At 39.1% G+C, this 17796-nt stretch overlaps 1 long non-coding RNA gene across 1 annotated transcript in view, besides 1 other annotated feature; it reads left to right on the top strand.

The window, feature by feature from the left end:
- The window catches only part of MMP20-AS1 (MMP20 antisense RNA 1), a 46089-nt gene that overhangs the window by 12620 nt on the left and 15673 nt on the right, over window positions 1–17796 (top strand). The window lies entirely within an intron of this gene.
- Window positions 9612–9781: an enhancer, noted in NCBI's record as "experimental_18676 CRE fragment used in MPRA reporter constructs". NCBI's record gives its function as "activates a minimal promoter by MPRAs in K562 erythroleukemia cells, with activity observed for both the introgressed and non-introgressed 11:102534171 variant alleles {active_cell/tissue: K562}" and the evidence as "EXISTENCE:reporter gene assay evidence [ECO:0000049][PMID:34662402]".

Here is a 17796-nt window from a genome sequence, read left to right on the forward strand (position 1 = left end):
TCTCTACTAAAAAAACAAAAATAAGCTGGACAGGGGTCACACACGGGTCACACACGAGTCATTCACGGGTCAGCAATGATTCAGTCATGGGTCACACACTGGTCACACACGTCAGTCACATCCCCCCCCCCACATCAGCTATGTGTCAGAACATACCTGCCATGTGTCAGAAATGTGTCAGCCAAGTGTCAGTCATGTGTCACACACGTGTCAGCCACATGTCAGCCACGTGTCACACACATGTCATTTAAGTGTCACGTGCCACACGTGTTAGTCATGTGCCAGTCATGTGTCACCCATGTCAGACATGTGTCAGTCACGTGTCACACACATCAGTCACCTGTCACACAAGTGTCATACACCTGTCAGTCTGTGCCACATGTGTCAGTCACGTGTCACACATGTCATGTGCCAGTCACCTGTCATTCATGTGTCAGTCACATGCCACACACATGTCATTAACGTATAACACGTGTCATACACCTGTCAGTCACGTGTCACACACGTGTCACAGACGTGTCAGTCATGTGTCACAGACGTGTCAGTCATGTGTCACGCACCTGTCAGGTTGTTTAGGTTAAAGAAAACTGCATCCTGGGGAAGGTTTCTTCCTTATAAGAAATTAACCAAATGGGGTACCACTGAATGAGGATGATCTTGAGTACATATACAAGACTTACTAGTTCAACCTAAGACCTTGTTGCAGTTTTCCCCTTGGGAATGTAGAATGGAAGTTGAAACAGCCAATCTAGTACATCTTATGTTGGCTGGACACGAATAATATAAAGCTAGTATGGATATATGAAGCTAATGTGACATAAATGATGATAAATGATATAAAGCTAGCATGGATATATGTGAATCTCCCTAGTGCTCTGTAGTGCACATGAGTTTACCTTCCTTTAAGCTTAAAAAAACAAATGTTGTGCTATAACTAATGTCTCAAAGGCTTATAGGAAGAAACACTTGTGTTTCGCTACAACTGGACCCTTGCCTCGGGGGTTCTTATTGACTCAGGCTTCCTAACATATTCCAAGGCATCTGCAGAGGTCCTGCTGCCCAGACAGGTATGTTACATGTAGTTAAAGTTTGAACTGCTTTTGCCTATACTGTGAAGCTGCCTGTGCCTACTATGGGCCTGTAAGTTTGCTGAGGACAAAGCAATCAGTTTGCTTGCCAGCCTCTGGGTGAACTTCCTCCAGTTGCGGTTTTCTTGCCCCCACTAAATATTCTTCCTGGAGATTTTGCTGAGACCTGAGGGCTCCAGTGTCTTTGCTGAGGCCCAGTGGCTTTCAACTGACATTTCTTTGAAACCTCCCCATGGGTCAGGTTCTGCCTCTGGACTTGGCCTCCTTAAACTATAATCATCCACAAAAGTCACAATACTCTGCAGCCTAGACTTAAAAGTCTTTTGTTCAGGTTGTAGCAGTTAAAAGCCAACTACCCAGCTACAAAAACCTCTGTGCAGGGAGCAAGCTCCCAAAAGAAAGGAACTTCTCCTTCCAAATTCACCAATTAGTGAGAAAATGGGCAGATCAGAAGTATTAAAGGTATAGGAACTCCTCCCCGTAGAAGGAAATAGCAGGGTGGTGAAGAAGTGACTCATTTAGCAGATGCTGCTGCTACCAAAGAAGTAATTTAAAAATCTGAATAATGTCTAGAATCTCATAAGAAGCATTTGACAAACACAGACTTCTGAGCCTGATAATAGAGAAGGAAAATCCTAAATTCTACTGTAGCTTCATATTCCTTTCCAGTGGCTGCTGTTAACAACCTCTCACAAGCCTGGTTAAAATAACTGAAATTTATTCTCTTACAATTCTGAAGACCATAAATATGACATCAGTTTCACTGAGCTAAAATCAAGGTTTCAGCAGGAACAAACATACTCCCTCTAGAAGCTCTAGGGGATAATCATTTATTGCCTCTTCTACGTTTTGGTGGCTGCTGGCATTCCTTGGCTTGTGGCCACATCATTGTAATCTCTGCCTTGGTGTACACATTGACTTTTCTTCTTCTGTGTGTGTCAAACATTTCTCTGCTTCTCTCTTACGTGGACTCCTATGATTGGATTTTATGCCCATGTTTGTAATCCAGGATTATCTCTTCATCTCAAGATCCTTAATTCAATTGCAGCTACAAAGACTCTGTATTCAAATACAGTAAGTAACATATACAGGTTCCAAGGATTAGGATGTGGACATATCTTTGAAGAATCATTTTTCAGCCTGCCACAAGTTTCATGGGGATTTGGAGAAATAAGGACAGCCGCATCTCCCAATATTTTCTTCTATTGTAGGTTGGTGCAAAAGTAATTGCGAGTTTTGCCATTGAAAATAATAAATATCCTAGACAGTTGAACTGCCTTCTTTTCTTTCCTTTATCCCCCATCTCCCACTACCTTATGTTTGTTCATTCTGGTTAAATTCACAAATTAATCCAAGATTATGTGATATTGAATAGAAGGTTATCAGTATAGAACCGGAGAAGCATGAACATTACTCAGAGATCCTGGTCTTGGAATGGAAACAATAAATAACAGTGAGACTTTGAGTTTACTGCTTTTTAAATATTAGGGCAAAGGATAAGCATGTTTTTTAGTTGGACAAGGTATTTTTCATTGCATTATGCTATGTAGAAGCATTTTTTTAGAAGTGTAGAAGAAGGGTGAACATTGGTGTAGGATGGATTAAGTGTGGACCTCAGTGGACATTTTTATCCTTTGTGATTGCCCAGGCTCTGAATCCTTATCATACATTTGGGGGATTCCCTACCTTTTGAGGCAGAGCCAGTTTCCAATATTAAAACCAAAAATGTCAAACATTTGCTTGTAACTAGGGCATGGTCAGTTTCTCCAGAATTTGAATTAGCATTTAGTGACAGGAAGACTCAGGTATCACACAGATCCATTCTGGTGAGTCTGGAAGTTGTGATTTCAGCTACTTCCAGCCTCCAGTGGTAGACTGGAAGAAATTCTAGTGACACCACACAGCACCCAGTGTTGGTGGCATTGCAGTGCAAGCTATGCCCATTGAGGGCTACAGTAATGCTTTTATGGATTAAGTTCTGAGAAGTATTGAGGGTGCTCTGGTTTCTTGGCTGTTGTAGCCTCCACGTCTGTTCTTTCATATTGCAAATATTCTATAAGCTACTCAAAATGTTTTATGTACATTCCCTTTCTGCTTTATGAGCCAGAGTTTCCTTCTAATCATTGCACCTAAGTACCCTGACTAATACAAATGAATCGGTTAATTTTATTAAAATGTAGATAATAAAGTGAAAGATATTGTCCAGAAAATAGAACTAGAGGTTAAAAATCAAAGGAAAAAGGATGAGAAAATTGGAGATCAAACAAGGAGAACAAACATCCAATGAAGGAAGTGATCCAGAAAGATAGAACTGAGAAAAAGTAAAGGAAGAAATTATCAAATAAATAATATAGGAAAATTTCTCTTTACTGAAGGCTGAAAGTTTCTAGACTGAAAGCGTCCACCAATTACCCAGATCAACAAATGCAAAAAAACCCACATCAAGTTATAGAGGAAAAAACAGGTCACAATCAAAGGATAGCAATTCAAATGGCTAAAATATAGGATTCTAGAAGATAGTAAAGAAATACCTTCAAAATTCTAAGGGGATGTGACTTCAACTTAGGTTTCCATACCCCGTAAATCAATCAATCAATCAATCAATCAAGATACATGAGAAGTCCAAAAACTAATTTTTCATGTATCTTTTCTCAGGAAGTTATTGCAGAACATGTTTTAGCAATTGATAGGGTAAAATGAAAAATAGACATTACTTCAAGGAATCAGGGGATCCAATACAGGAGAGAAGTGGAGGGGAAGTTTCAGTATAAACAGCTAAGCATCAGGGCAAGGAAGCTACCAGTTCTCCTTAGAGCTGGATGGACAGTTTCATCCTGAAAGAGAAAAATGATATAACTAAATTAAATGGTTGGCTAGCATTTGAGTTAAATAATTATTGATAGGTACACATCAAAACAGCTGCAGCATTTGAAAAAAACTTGGAATGGGCACAGAAAACCAAGCAGTGATAAATAAAGCAATCACTAACTATGCTTGTAATCAGTAGCAATGATAAATAAAGCAATCACTAACTATGCCTGTAAGTAGCTGGTATTCTGCTACTTGTGAGGCTGAGGCAGGAGAATCACTTGAATCCGGGAGGCGGAGGTTGTGGTGAGCTGAGATCACGCCATTGCACTCCAGCCTGGGCAACAAGAGCGAAACTCCATCTCAAAAAAAAAAAAAAAAAGAAAAGAAAAAGAAATACCAGAAAACTGTATGTGAATGGGAATGTAATAATAATAAACTATTTGACTTGGAAATAAACAATATTTACATAATAAAAATATAAACACTGTGATATAAGAGGAAGTGTAGGGAAGAAAGGAGGTGGAGGGTTGGTGGGAATGTAATAGAGCTAATATTAACAGAAGTCACTAGATAATGTATAAGATACATTAATTAGGAAATAAATGCACAAGCACATTATTTAGAGAAATGAAGTTGAATACCAGAAGACATAATTCATTATGTTTGCAGTAGTTATCTCTCGTTGTCAGACTGAGGCATAGTAAAAGACAGCTTTAAGTATTTTATTACTATTTGATTTAATTATTAAGGAAAATTGTAAATTGATTTGCATCACATGCACTGTTAACTTGAAGCCAACTGTAAAATGAAGCCAACTGTATGTATTGGTCATAAAGAGTGAAAACTATATTTATTTGTCCCATTGTACAAGCCTATTCCAGCTTCAATTCCTTCCGTCCTCCCTCTTTTCCTTTCCATTAAAACAGAAGCTTCCCTTGCCCTAGGTAAAGGGAGGTATCAATTGAAAGACAAAGAGTGATTAAAGTCATGTATTATTTGCTTTGGAGCTTCCAAGTCTGCAGGTCTTGATAATTTAGAGATTATTAATAAATAATTTTACCTGACTTGAGTATCACATTACTCATCAATTTTGCAACCTAATCCCAAATTATATTGTGAATTATTGAAACAAAAGATAATACATCTTTATCCTTATAATAATAGTTATATATTATTGAACGCTTGCCCCATGCTAGATCTGTTCTAGGTATTTTATGTATTTCATCTAATTTATTCCTCATAGAAACCCTATCAAGTAGGGCTATCATTAATCTCATATTTAGTGGAAACTGATACTCCATATTGTCCTTGGATTGTGGCTGGAAATATTCTCTGTTCTCTTTTGCTGATATCCAGTAACTTGAGATCATGCACTTAGATATACTTGAAAAGAGCGTATACACCCTACAAGTCTTATGATTGCCATTTTCTGTTCATGAAACCTTTTTCTGCAACATTCAGTGGTGCAGCTGCAGATCAGGGAGCCGGGGTGTAGGCAGAACGTCTTTCTGTAAGTTCCCGCTGGGCTCAAGCTCTAACTCATTTCGATTATGCTACAATAACTGGCATTAATGCTGTATTTCTTTGTCCCTTCTGAACCCATGGCTGCAGGATATTTTTTACAATGTGGCATTCGAGACAGCAGCTCCTCATCAAATGGAGTTGTCTCAATCTGTTTGCCTTCCTTGATGTATGAGGCCCTTATTAAATGTAATCCTTAGTTCTAAACAATAGTATTCTGGTGAGGTTTGGCTTTCTCCCACTCCCAGATAACTATACAGATTACAAAGTGCTTTCACATGTATTGTTTTATTTTATCAGTGTAGCAATTCTCTGGGCTACATTTATGCAGTATTTATTACATGCCAGGCCGTCTAAATTATGTAACCCCCCAATCATTCAAGGTGGACGTTGTTATACCCATTCTATTGATGGGAAAACAGGCTCAGAGAAGTGAAATGGCTTGCGAAGACAACCAGATGGTAAAGGACAGAACTTGGACTAAAACTTGGACTTCTAAAGCAAGTTCTCAGTTTCTTTCAAACACTGTAGATGCCCTTAGGTTTCCAACCATTGAAGTAAATTCCACTCCTTTAGCCAGTTGCCTGGTGGAATATTGTTGTTCAGCAGGAGTTTCACCCATCTTCGTGTGTGTGTGTGCGTGTGTGTGTGTTTGTGTGTGTGTGTGTGTGCAACATCTACTTCTTTTAGGACCTTGAAATGGACCTATTCAGCTGGCCAACCACGAAATCTAATGCCTTATAAGCACAATTATTTGTCTTATGAGACCTAAGCTTTCTACCTCTTGGAAAGACCTGTATATATATGTCATTGGAAAATAAATTCCCAACACTGCTGTTTCTTAACCTGTGTAATGATTCTGCTGACAGCTGCTGAGTGAGTATAACTAAAGGGTATATAGATACCAAACCTTACATTAACAAAGAATCAAGGTGAATACATGTGCAGACAACCTTTCTTAAATTTCTTGGACCCCATCTTTGCCTAGTATATCTGAAGCATTTGGATCCTTACTTGAAAGGTGTGTTTTAAAATGAAAACATGGTTATTATGTTTAATTTTCTGTCTCTCTCACCTCTAGGTTTTCTAGTCAAAGTAGATTTCAGGCACTTCTTCTGTTAAGATTGTAATTCTCCATTCTTTTTTTCTTTCATATATTTTTTTCTGCAAGTAGAACCTATCACACTATCTTATAGCTGTTTTTTTCTTTAAAATAAAAATTTATAAGACAGGCACATAAATATTAGAAGCAGTTATCTTGCGGTAGGAGTGCAGGGATTATGCATAGGTATTGTTCTTTTCTCTCTGTACTTTTTTTGTGTTTTGTAATTAGAAAAAAGTTACATAAAAATGTACTTTAGTAATCTCTCTAAGGCCATACTTTATTATTTGTTTATTTTTTTTTTTTTGAGACGGAGTCTTGCTCTGTCCCCCAGGCTGGAGTGCAGTGGCGCGATCTCAGCTCACTGCAAGCTCCGCCTCCCAGGTTCACACCATTCTCCTGCCTCAGCCTCCTGAGTAGCTGGGACTACAGGCGCCTGCCAGCACGCCTGGCTAATTTTTTGTATTTTTAGTAGAGACGGGGTGTCACCGTGTTAGCCAGTATGGTTTCGATCTCCTGACCTCATGATCCGCCCGCCTCAGCCTCCCAAAGTGCTGGGATTACAGTCGTGAGCCACCACGCCTGGCCACATTATTTTTTTTTCTTTCTTTTTTGACAAGGTTTTTTTCTGTCTCTCAGGCTGGAGTGCAATGGTGTTCCAACCTCACTGCAGCCTCAATCTCCCAGGCTAAATCTATCCTCCCACCTCAGCCTCCCTAGTAGCTGGGAGTACGGGAATGTGCTACCACACCTGGCTAAGTTTTTGGAAAAAAAATTATCTTTAGCAGAAACAAGGTCTTGATATGTTGCCCTGCCTGGTCCCCAACTCCTGGGCTCAATCGAATCTCCTGCCTTGGCCTCCCAAAGCGCTGGGATGACAGGTGTGAGCCACAGTGCCTGGCCTGAGGCATGCTTTTTAAAATGGTGATGAATATCTCCACAAAACACAGACATGTGAGGAAATAACAAAAATCAGATAAATTTTAAGGAAAAGCAAGGTATGCTCAGAGATATTTATCTTTTCAAATCTGATTTGAACTATACCTGTAACTACTCTGCCAATAAGATTTATTTTCTTCGAGTAGTTTGGAGGAAATTTTTGAGAAGCATTGGGTGAACGGGAAGTGCTCAAGAGATAACCTGATAGGAATGTTCTAAAGAGGATTTCTGTACTGAGAAGAGAGGGAATGATGAGCTCTGAGCTCCTTTTCAGGTCTAAGTTTTTCTAAAGGCCTTTATGGAAGGCAGGCTTTTATAAAAAAGTGGGGAGGAATCTTAGATTTCTAGTTTGGAGGTGGTTCTACTTCAAGAGAGGTTGTTTGTGTTAACTAGTATTTATTTATATAGCACTTTCTCTTCTTCTGTACAAGATCAGATCATAAATTGAATGATGCTTTTCAAGGGCAAAATACCCCTTCTCCAATTGCTACAGGAAATTCACCATGTTTCCCCACTTGTCCAAGACATAGATCAGCTCTCTAGTTGATGATTATGGAGTTCACACTTTATAGCTAAATTTCATATTTTTAGCTCAATTTTTGTTTGTTTGTTTTCTGGTCATGACCCATATACTTATATTCCCAGAGCACAGAAAAGCAAAAGTGCTTGTGTCAGTGGATTCCCCTGGTCTGCTACTGGTTCTACGATCCCCTGGAGGGACTCATAGGACTCAATGTATAGAATGTATAGTCCTATTCACAGCAAGTATTTATTGCAGTGAAAGGATTCAGATAAAAATTGGCAAAGGGAACAGGTGCATGTCCAGGGTAAGTTAGGTGCAAATTTCCAGGGGTCCTTTCTTAATGTAGTCACAGAGGACACTCTTAAATTTCTCAGTAATGAGTTGTGACAACAAGTGTGAAATGTTGTCCGTCAGGAAAGCCCGTTAGAGACTCAGTGCCCAGGTTTTTCATTGGGGTCTGGGGGCATGCCCTCTCTACCTGCCTCTGCCTGCCATGTACCCAAATTCCAGACTCCCAGAAGGAAAGCAGGTGTTCATTGTAAACCATATTTGCACAGTTTAGGTACAGTGAGCCATTCTTGCCAGTGAATGGTAGGAATCTTCTGAAATCTAAGTTTCCAGATGTCAGCCTAAAGGCCAACCTTGTAAGCAGGGCTTTCTAAGGATAGCAGTTTTCAAGTCTGCTATGTTAACTCTTTTCTGAACTGTGATCTTTCAGACGTTTTCTGAAAAAGGGATCTAGTCTTGCCAGAAGAGGAAGGGCCTCTGACTCTTCTTTTGTAGATTTTGGAGAGATCCTAAGCACTGAACAAACCTCCCTTCCTTTTAACAACAGAAAGAATAGGAAGAATTATACAGGGACAATCAGTAGGAGATTTTTTTTTTTAATCCTTCAAATGAGACCAAATAAGTAGAGGCTTGTCTGCATGGGCATAACAACTTGGTCCAAGTAAATAACCATAAAAGAGATCCTTTACCACAACCCAGTGTCTGCCTTAAGTATGTGTTGGAGCAAGAAAATATATATATACAAGAGCCCCAGTAAGCACTTAGAGGCATCCTGCTGGCTGACTGACAGGGGCTAAATGCTAACTTCAGGTTTAATACACAGTCATCACATTAAACAATATTTACTTGCCAGGATCCTATTGTGTCTGGCTGTTACAGCTCCTTGATGTTTTTCTACTCTCCTTGCCTGGATGTCCTATCCAGCACATTGTCTGTCAGCCCTTTTAATTGCCTTTTTGATGACCCTAAGTTCCCTGTGTGTCTCCTAAGGTGCCATCACTGCAGAATCAGGAGAGTTGCCAGTCTCCTTCCTTGCTTACTTACTGTGTCTCTTGGTAAAATATGGCTCTCCTGGTTATCTGGTAAAGTAATGGCGGTGGGAGGAAGAAGAGTTAATGGGGCATCATCTCTGAAAAGTTGAGTAGATGGGACTAGACAAAGAATGGCAAATATGTGGCCAGTCCCCTCACTCCAGGCTCCTGGGCCTACGGTGCACAGAGAGCATGGCGTTATTTCTTGTTGTGTCCAACACAGTAATTATTCTGGGCAGCCATTTTCAATTCGTCAAAATTGACATAAAAATTGAAGGCTACTTATTCCTGGCTTAGATTGCTTTTAAAGTCCTTTTAATTTATAAGTTAAGTGATTACTTTATTCTTGTGAAGTGCATATAAGTAAAAACAGGCTAAGTAACATGGCTTAGTACCATGTACTGTGGAATATATAATATTTTTACTAATTACTGTGGAATATCTGATATTTTTAGGTGAAATGTGGACAAACATTTAACTATTGTAAACTTATTATGTGAATGAGGAGAATTAGTGAACACATCAAACTTATTTGTGAAAATGAAATGAAGTTTAGATTTATTAATATATTATATTTATTTAAAGGAAAAGGAGCCAAATTAAAGGTTATTTGGTAAATAATAGTACAGGTATGGCAAAAATCACATAAGTAGATTCAAATCCTTGCTTCGAAATGTCCTGACCATGTGAATTTGAGACAGATACTTAATCTCTATGGACTTCAGCCCTTTCACTGGTTGAAGGAAGAAAGTACTGCCCGCTTCCAGTGTTGCTGTAAGTATGAGAAGTAATGATATAGAAGCGGGGAAGGGAAGTGCTGGGAAGGGAAGGGCATGGTCCCTGGCGAGGGCTCCACCCTTGGCCTGTGCCCAATGACCTAGGTGAGGACAGATACTCCAGCCTTCCCGCCCAAATGTTGCATTTCCCAAGACCACCCTGGCCTGCCATGTCCCCATCATGTGCCTATAAAAACCCTGAGGCCCTAGCAGGCAGACACACAAGCTGCTGGAAGTTAAGAGAAACACATCGGTGGAAGAAGACACAAGTGGCTGGACATCGAGAGGACATGGAGGGGACCATGCTGGAGGAAGAGCACACGACAGATGCTGGCAGGCCAGCAGGCCATCAACAGGTGGAACAAGGCGGCAGTTGGAGAAAAGCCCAAGCCGCCGAGCGGCCCAACTCCACAGGAAAACCATCTCTCTTCTGGCTTCCCCATGTGCTGAGAGATATGTCCACTCAATAAAACCTTGCACTCATTCTCCAAGCCCATGCGTGATCTGATTCTTCTGGTACACCAAGGCAAGAACCTGGGATACAGAAAACCCTCTGTCCTTGTGATAAGGCAGGGGTCTAATTGAGCTAACAGAAGCCGCCTACAAACAGCTAAACTAAAAGAACACCCTGTAACACATGCCCACTAGGGTTTCAGCTGTAAACATTCACCCCTAGACACTGTCGTGGGGTTGAAGCCCCACAGCCTGCCCGTCTGCATGCTCCCCCTAGAGGCTTGAGCAGTGAGGCACTGAAGAGGCGAGCCACTCCTCCATTGCATGCCCCATGAGGGGGGCAAGGGAAGTTTTCCCGTTTCAGTAATATATGTCAAGTTTCTAGCATTGTGACTGACATATAGCAGACACTCAATAATAATCAGAATTAACTAAATGCTTACTATGTGACAAGGTTGTTCCAGAGCTTTATCTGTATCATTCTAATCCTCCAAAAACCTTTATGAGATAGGTACTATTATTGCTACCTTTTTTGCCAGGGAAGAAACTAAGGCACGGAGAGGTTAAGGTGGTATAATTTCCCAAGTCACAAGTTAGTAAGTGGTAGAAGGGAGATTGAACCAGGTGGTCTGGCTCTAGAACCTCCAGTTAACTATATTCTAACATCTACCATTTTAAGTACAATCTGCCATCATGTACTGAACGTTACCATTTAGGGGCCTTTCTCCAGGACCCTTTAGGTGGTCCCAGACACATGCTAACAGGGGCACCGAGGGACACTCAGCCTGGCTGGGAGTGGATGGGATGTATGGGGGACTAATGAAGGGACAAGCTGGTTACTGTTAATGATAGAGCAAGAGGCTCGGATTGTTTTTGATGCATAATGAGAACCAAGTATAGGTATTGATACGCTGATGAAAGTCAGGGATTTTTTAAGGTACTGGACATAAAAAGTGACATGATCAAGGCCCGCTAGTCTAGAGGTGAAGCAGCTGGCTAACTGCAGTAAAGAGGAACAGATGGTATGAGATGAGTCTACATGAAGCACAGCAGAGACACAAGGGGGAGAGGGTCAATTCTGCTCTGAGAGGAAGGGGCAGGGAAGGCTGCATAAGGAGATGATGTAAGCTGGTTTTACAAGGTCCTTGGGAGGTTTTGAGCAGAATGTCATGGCCAGAAACATGCATTTCATTAAATAGCCTATTTCCCGTCCACCAACTTAGGAAAAGGAGGGCCTGACTCCGGGTGGCGGCAGTGAGAATGGGGAAGAGGAATACAGAGGCCGACTTGAGGTGAGATTATCAGGAGATGATGATTATATATGGGGCCCAAGGGGAGTACTGATCTGAAGTCCAGGGATTGGGGTGCCTCTCTCAGGGACAGTTTATAGAAAGAGAGACTGCATTTGCTTCCATCCGAAGCACCTATGAGACCTGAAGGTGTAGATAAAAGACTACAGGAAAGAGATGATGGGTTTTGGGAACAGCTTTCTCTCCAGAAGGACTCTATTAAAAGGCATGTTATTGATAAGGAAAGAAAGGGGTCACTCTTGACTTTTACCCATCATCTCAGGTTAGTTTATTGTCACTGAAGGCCCCAAGAACGTAGGAGATGAGATGTGATTTCCAGAGGTGACGGGTGGGAAGCCACCTGAAGCTTCAGCCCTGCATTAGCAGGACATTGACCATCTCTGGTTCACTTGCATCTTGATTTGCTTTCTTGAGAAGAGGGAGGGTGTCTTTCCAGCTACTGGACGAGCAACTTTTGAGAGTCCTGGGTATTCATTTAAATTTCATTCAGCCAATGTTTACTGAGCACTTACTACATAGGAAGCATTATTCTTGAGGTTGAGTGTGCTGTATGAAACTAAAACAGCCCCCACTCTCCTGAGACTAACATTATGGAGGCAGGGAGCTAGTATGTAAACACATAAAGGAGTGGGCTGCACAAATGTCTGGAGGGAGAGGGTCTGGGAATATGGGGCAGTGAGAGCAAAGACTCTGCGGCAGGAACAAACTAGGTCAGATGAATGAGTTACTTTGTGGAAAAAGTCTTGAGTTGCTCTTCTAGACAATCACTCCTTCTCCCACTCCCTTGAATTTCGGGAAGTGGTCCCTGTATTTCTTAGTTACTAAGTGAACAAATTATCTTTGAGAGACCAGGGTATGGTTCTGGACTGCTTTGTAATTTAAAAGTTAGCCTTGGTGGTGGCCTCCGGGATTTTATGGTCTTTGAGCTCAAATACCCTGGGAGGCAATTGCCATCTAGTGGCAAGGAGAGAAAACACACCTGGTAGCTTGGGAAAGAAAAGAAGTTTCTTTAGGATATCAAGCCTGTAGCTCGTCTTTCAATCTTTGGCTATGAAATGACTTTGAAAATTTGCTAATTTTCTACTTTCTCAAAAATTCAAGAAAGTTGAACAATTGGCCCCAAATTAGTTACATTTCCAACAGAAAACGTCATTTCTTTGACATGTGCTATGCATTGTACATATTTTCACATTTAATCTCCACAGCAACTCTGCAAGCTGAACAGTTTTATTATCCACATCTTGAATATGAATATATATAAGATTTAAATAACTTTTCCAATGTCCTAGAGCTTTTAGATGACAGAGTTGGGATTAAACCCTAGTCTTTCTGAGGACAAACTTGAGTTACATTGTCTACCTACCTGTAGGTAGCTTTGAACGTGTGCTAAAGGAACTAGTTCTTATTAGACATCAGCAAGTGTTTGCTAAAGCCAAGTCAACTAAATATTGTTATGAAGAAAATGCTCAGATCTAGGATTTATAGAGGGAAATTACCGACATAAAGTTCAGCTGAGCACAAGGAGCTTTCTAGCAATTAGATCTGCCTACAGTGGAACAGGATTCCTTAGCAGGCAGACATGCATGGGTTGCTGTGGGGGACTGGCAGAACACAAATGTGTTTTGTTTCATCCAAGCCATGTCTTGTATACATTTGTATTTAAATGCTTTGTCTGGGTGTTATTTCTTGTTTGCCACCATCTCAATCTTTTCCTAAATAATACACCTGGCCCTCACATATTTACTTTACCTTCCTGGTGTGGTAAGCATTTAGGTTGATGACCACTGAGTGACTGACAGGTGTTTAAGAGGATATCCTATCATATATTTGATGGGTTACCAACACTATAAAACTATCCTATCAATTTTTTTAATAGGAGTGTTAATACAAATAACTTAGTCTACCATTATCATAAACTTTTTTTTTGCACAAAATAGGTAAAAATGTAAGGAAGAAGAAAAGATAACAACAATAACTGGCATTTATTGAGTAATGTTACTCTCAGTGACCATAAACTCTGATTTTCTGAGTTTTGAGCTCGTTATGCTTGTTGTTTCTGTGCAATTATTAATACAGTCCTCTTTCATGTTAAAAATATCCTTTACTCTGGGTTCCCCCAGTCTGTTCCCCAGGGTCAGCCTTTGCTATTAGTATCTTGTCCTTTACTTTGGAAATTTCTGTATATATAAATTATATAGGCATATATATATATATATGCATATGTACTGGCACATATATATGCATATGTACTTGCACATATATATATGCATATGTACTTGCACATATATATGCATATGTACTTGCACATATATATATGCATATGTACTTGCATATATATGCATATGTACTTGCATATATATATATGCATATGTACTTGCATATGTATATGCATATGTACTTGCATATGTATATGCATATGTACTTGCATATGTATATGCATATGTACTTGCATATGTATATGCATATGTACTTGCATATGTATATGCATATGTACTTGCATATGTATTTGCATATGTACTTGCATATGTATATGCATATGTACTTGCATATGTATATGCATATGTACTTGCATATATTGCCTTTCTGAAAGAAAAAAGTAAATAGGACTACATTATATGCATTGTTCTTGACCTTACGTTCTTTTTTAATCTAGCTTGCCTTAGAAATTTTTTTTCAATACACAAACCAAATGTTAAATTTAGCATGAATGTATGGCTGCTTTTTTAAAACTTTTAATTTAAAAATGATTATAGATTCACATGAAGTTGCAAAGATAATACAGAGGTGACTCATGTATCCTTCATCCAGTTTTCCCCAATGATTACATCTTACATAATCATAGTACAATATCTAAACTAGGCAGTTGGTACAATGTGTGTATATTCTCTGTCATTCTATCACATGTGTAGATTCATGGAAACACTGTTGCAATCAATATCCACAACTAGTCCATCACCATGAAGATCTCCTTTGTGCTGCTTTTTTATAGTTACACCTGTCCCCTGGCCTCCCACTATCCTTAAACCCTGGCACCGGCTAATCTGTTTTCTGTATCTATAATTTTGTCATGTAGAGAATATACAAATGGAATCATAAGTCTGTGACTTAAAAATTTTTTTAATTAAAAAATATATTTAGGGGGTACAAGTGCAGGTTTCTTACATGCCTATATCGTGTAGCATTGAAGTCTGGGCTTTTAATGTACTTATCATCCAAATAGTGAACACTGTACCCAACAGGTAATTTTCTGTCCCTCATCCCCCTCCCACCCTCCTACCTCTTGTCGTCTCCAATGTCAATTCTTACAATCCGTGTGTCTGTGTGTACCCATTGTTTAGCTCCTACTTATAAGTGAGAACATGCTAGTATTTTGACTTTCTGTTTCTGAGTTATTTTACTTAGGATAATGTCATCCAGTTCCATCTGGGCTTTTGCAAAAGACATGATTTTATTCCTTTATCCATATTTCCTTTATCCAATTCTCTGTTGATGGACACTTAAGTTGATTCCATATTTTTGCTATTGTGAATAGTGCTGTGATAAACATACATGTACAAGTATCTCTTTTTTCAACTTTCATTTTAGGTTCAGGGGTACATGTACAGCTTTGTTATATGGGTACATTGCATGTCTCTGAAGTTTGGTGTACAGATAATTTTGTCTTCTAGATAGTGAGCATAGTACTCAATAGGTAGTTTTGTGACACTCACTCTTCTCTTAACCTCTCCCCTGAAGTAGGCCACAATGCATGTTGTTCCTATTTTTGTGTCCATGTGTACTCAGTGTTTAGCTCCCACTTATAAGTTAGAACATGTGGTATTTGATTTTCTGTTCCTCCATTTATTCACTTAATATAATGATCTCCAGCTGCATTCATGTTTCTGCAAATGACATCATTTTGGTTTTTTAATGGTTGCATAGTATTCCATGATATATATGTACCACATTTTATTTATCCAGTCCATCACTGATGAGCATCTAGTTGATTCCATATCTTTATTATTGTGAATATCACTGTGATGAACATACATGTCTTTTTGGTTGAATGATTTATGTTCCTTTGGGTATATATGCAGTAATGGGATTGCTAGGTAAAATGGTAGTTCTGTTTTAAGTTCTTTGAGAAATGTTTAAACTTTCTATAGCTCTTCACAGGGCTGAACTAATTTACATTCCATCAGTAGCGTATAAGCATTCCCTATTCTAGATGACCTCACTAGCATCTGTTATTTTTTTACTTTTTAATAATAGCCGTTCTGACTGGTGTGAGCTAGTATCCATTGTGGTTTTGATTTGCATTTCTGTAATGCTTAGTGATGTTGAGCATTGTTTCATATGCTTGCTGGCTAAGATTATGTCTTCTCTTGAAAGGTGTCAGTTGATATCCTTTGCCCACTTTTTAGTGGGGTTGTTTGTTTTTTGCTTGTTGATTTAAGTTCGTTGTAGATTCTGGATAAAGGGACTGTTGTCAGATGCATACTTTGTGAGTATTTTCTCCCATTTTGTAGGTTGTCTGTTTATTGTTGATACTTTCTTTTTCTGTGCAGAAACTCTTCAGTTTAATTAGGTCCTACTTGTCAATTTCTGTTTTTTTAGGTGTATTGGTAGTTTCATAGGAATAGCATTGAATCTGTAAATTGCTTTGGATATTATGGCCATTTTAACAATATTGATTCTTCCTATCCATGAGCATGGAATATTTTTCCATTTGTGTCACCTGTGATTTTTGTCAGCAGTGTTTGCAATTCTTGTTGTATAGTTTGTTTACCTCTCTGCTTAGCTGTATTTTTAGTTATTTTATTCTCTTTGTGGATATCATGAATGGGATTGCATTCTTGGTTTGGTTGTCAGTTTGGAACATTATTGGTGTGTAGAAATGTTATTGACTTTTGTACATTGATTTGTATGCTTAAACTTTGCTGAAGTTGTTTATTAGTTCTAGGAGCCTTTAGGTAGAGACTATGGAGTTTTCTAGGCATAATCCACATTGTCTGTGCAGAGAGATAGTTTGATTTTCTCTCTTTCTATTTGGATACCTTTTATTTCCTTCTCTTTCCTGATTGCTCTGGCTATGTTGTATAGGAGTGGTGACAGTGAACATCCTTGTCTTGTTCTGGTTCTCAAGGGGAATGCTTCCAACTTTTGCACGTGTTCAGTACGATGTTGACTGTGGGTTTGTCATAGATGGCTCTTATTATTTTGAGGTATGTTCCTTCAATGCCTAGTCTGTTAAGGGTTTTTACATGAAAGAGGACGAATTTTGGTTTTGCGTGTTGAACCAATCTTCCATCACAAGAATAAAGCCCTACTTGATTGTGGTGAATTAGCTTTCAGTTTATTAGTATTTTGGATTCAGTTTACTAGTATTTTGTTGAAGATTTTTGCATCTATGTTCATCAGGGATTTTGATCTGAAGTTTTCTTTTTCATTGTGTCTCTGCCAGGTTTTGGTATCAGAATGATATTGGCCTCATAGCATGAGTTAGGGAGGAGTCACCTCTTCAATTTTTTGAAATATTTTTAGTTGGATTGGTACCAGCTCTTCTTTGTACATCTGGTCGAATTTAGCTATGAATTCATGTGCTTTAGGACTTTTTCTGGTTTGTAGGTTTTTTATTACTAATTCAATTTCAGAATTTTTTATTGGTCTATTCAGGATTACAACTTTTTCCCGGTTCAGTCTTGGCAGGTTGCATGTTTTTAGAAATTTATCCATTTCTTCTAGGTTTTCTAGTGTGTGTGCGTAGTGATGTTCATAATAGTTCCTGAGGGTTTTTTGTATTTCTGTGGGGTCAGTGGTAATGTCACCTTTGTCATTTCTCATTGTGTTTATTTGGGCCTTCTCTCTCTCTCTCTTTTTATTAATCTAGCTACTGGTCTATCAATTCCTTTTATTCTTTCAAAAAACCAACTTTTGGTTTCAATGATCTTTTGCATGGATTTTCATATCTCAAT

The sequence above is a fragment of the Homo sapiens genome, chromosome 11 (assembly GCF_000001405.40).
Source record: "Homo sapiens chromosome 11, GRCh38.p14 Primary Assembly".
NCBI classification, from domain to species: Eukaryota; Metazoa; Chordata; class Mammalia; order Primates; family Hominidae; genus Homo; species Homo sapiens.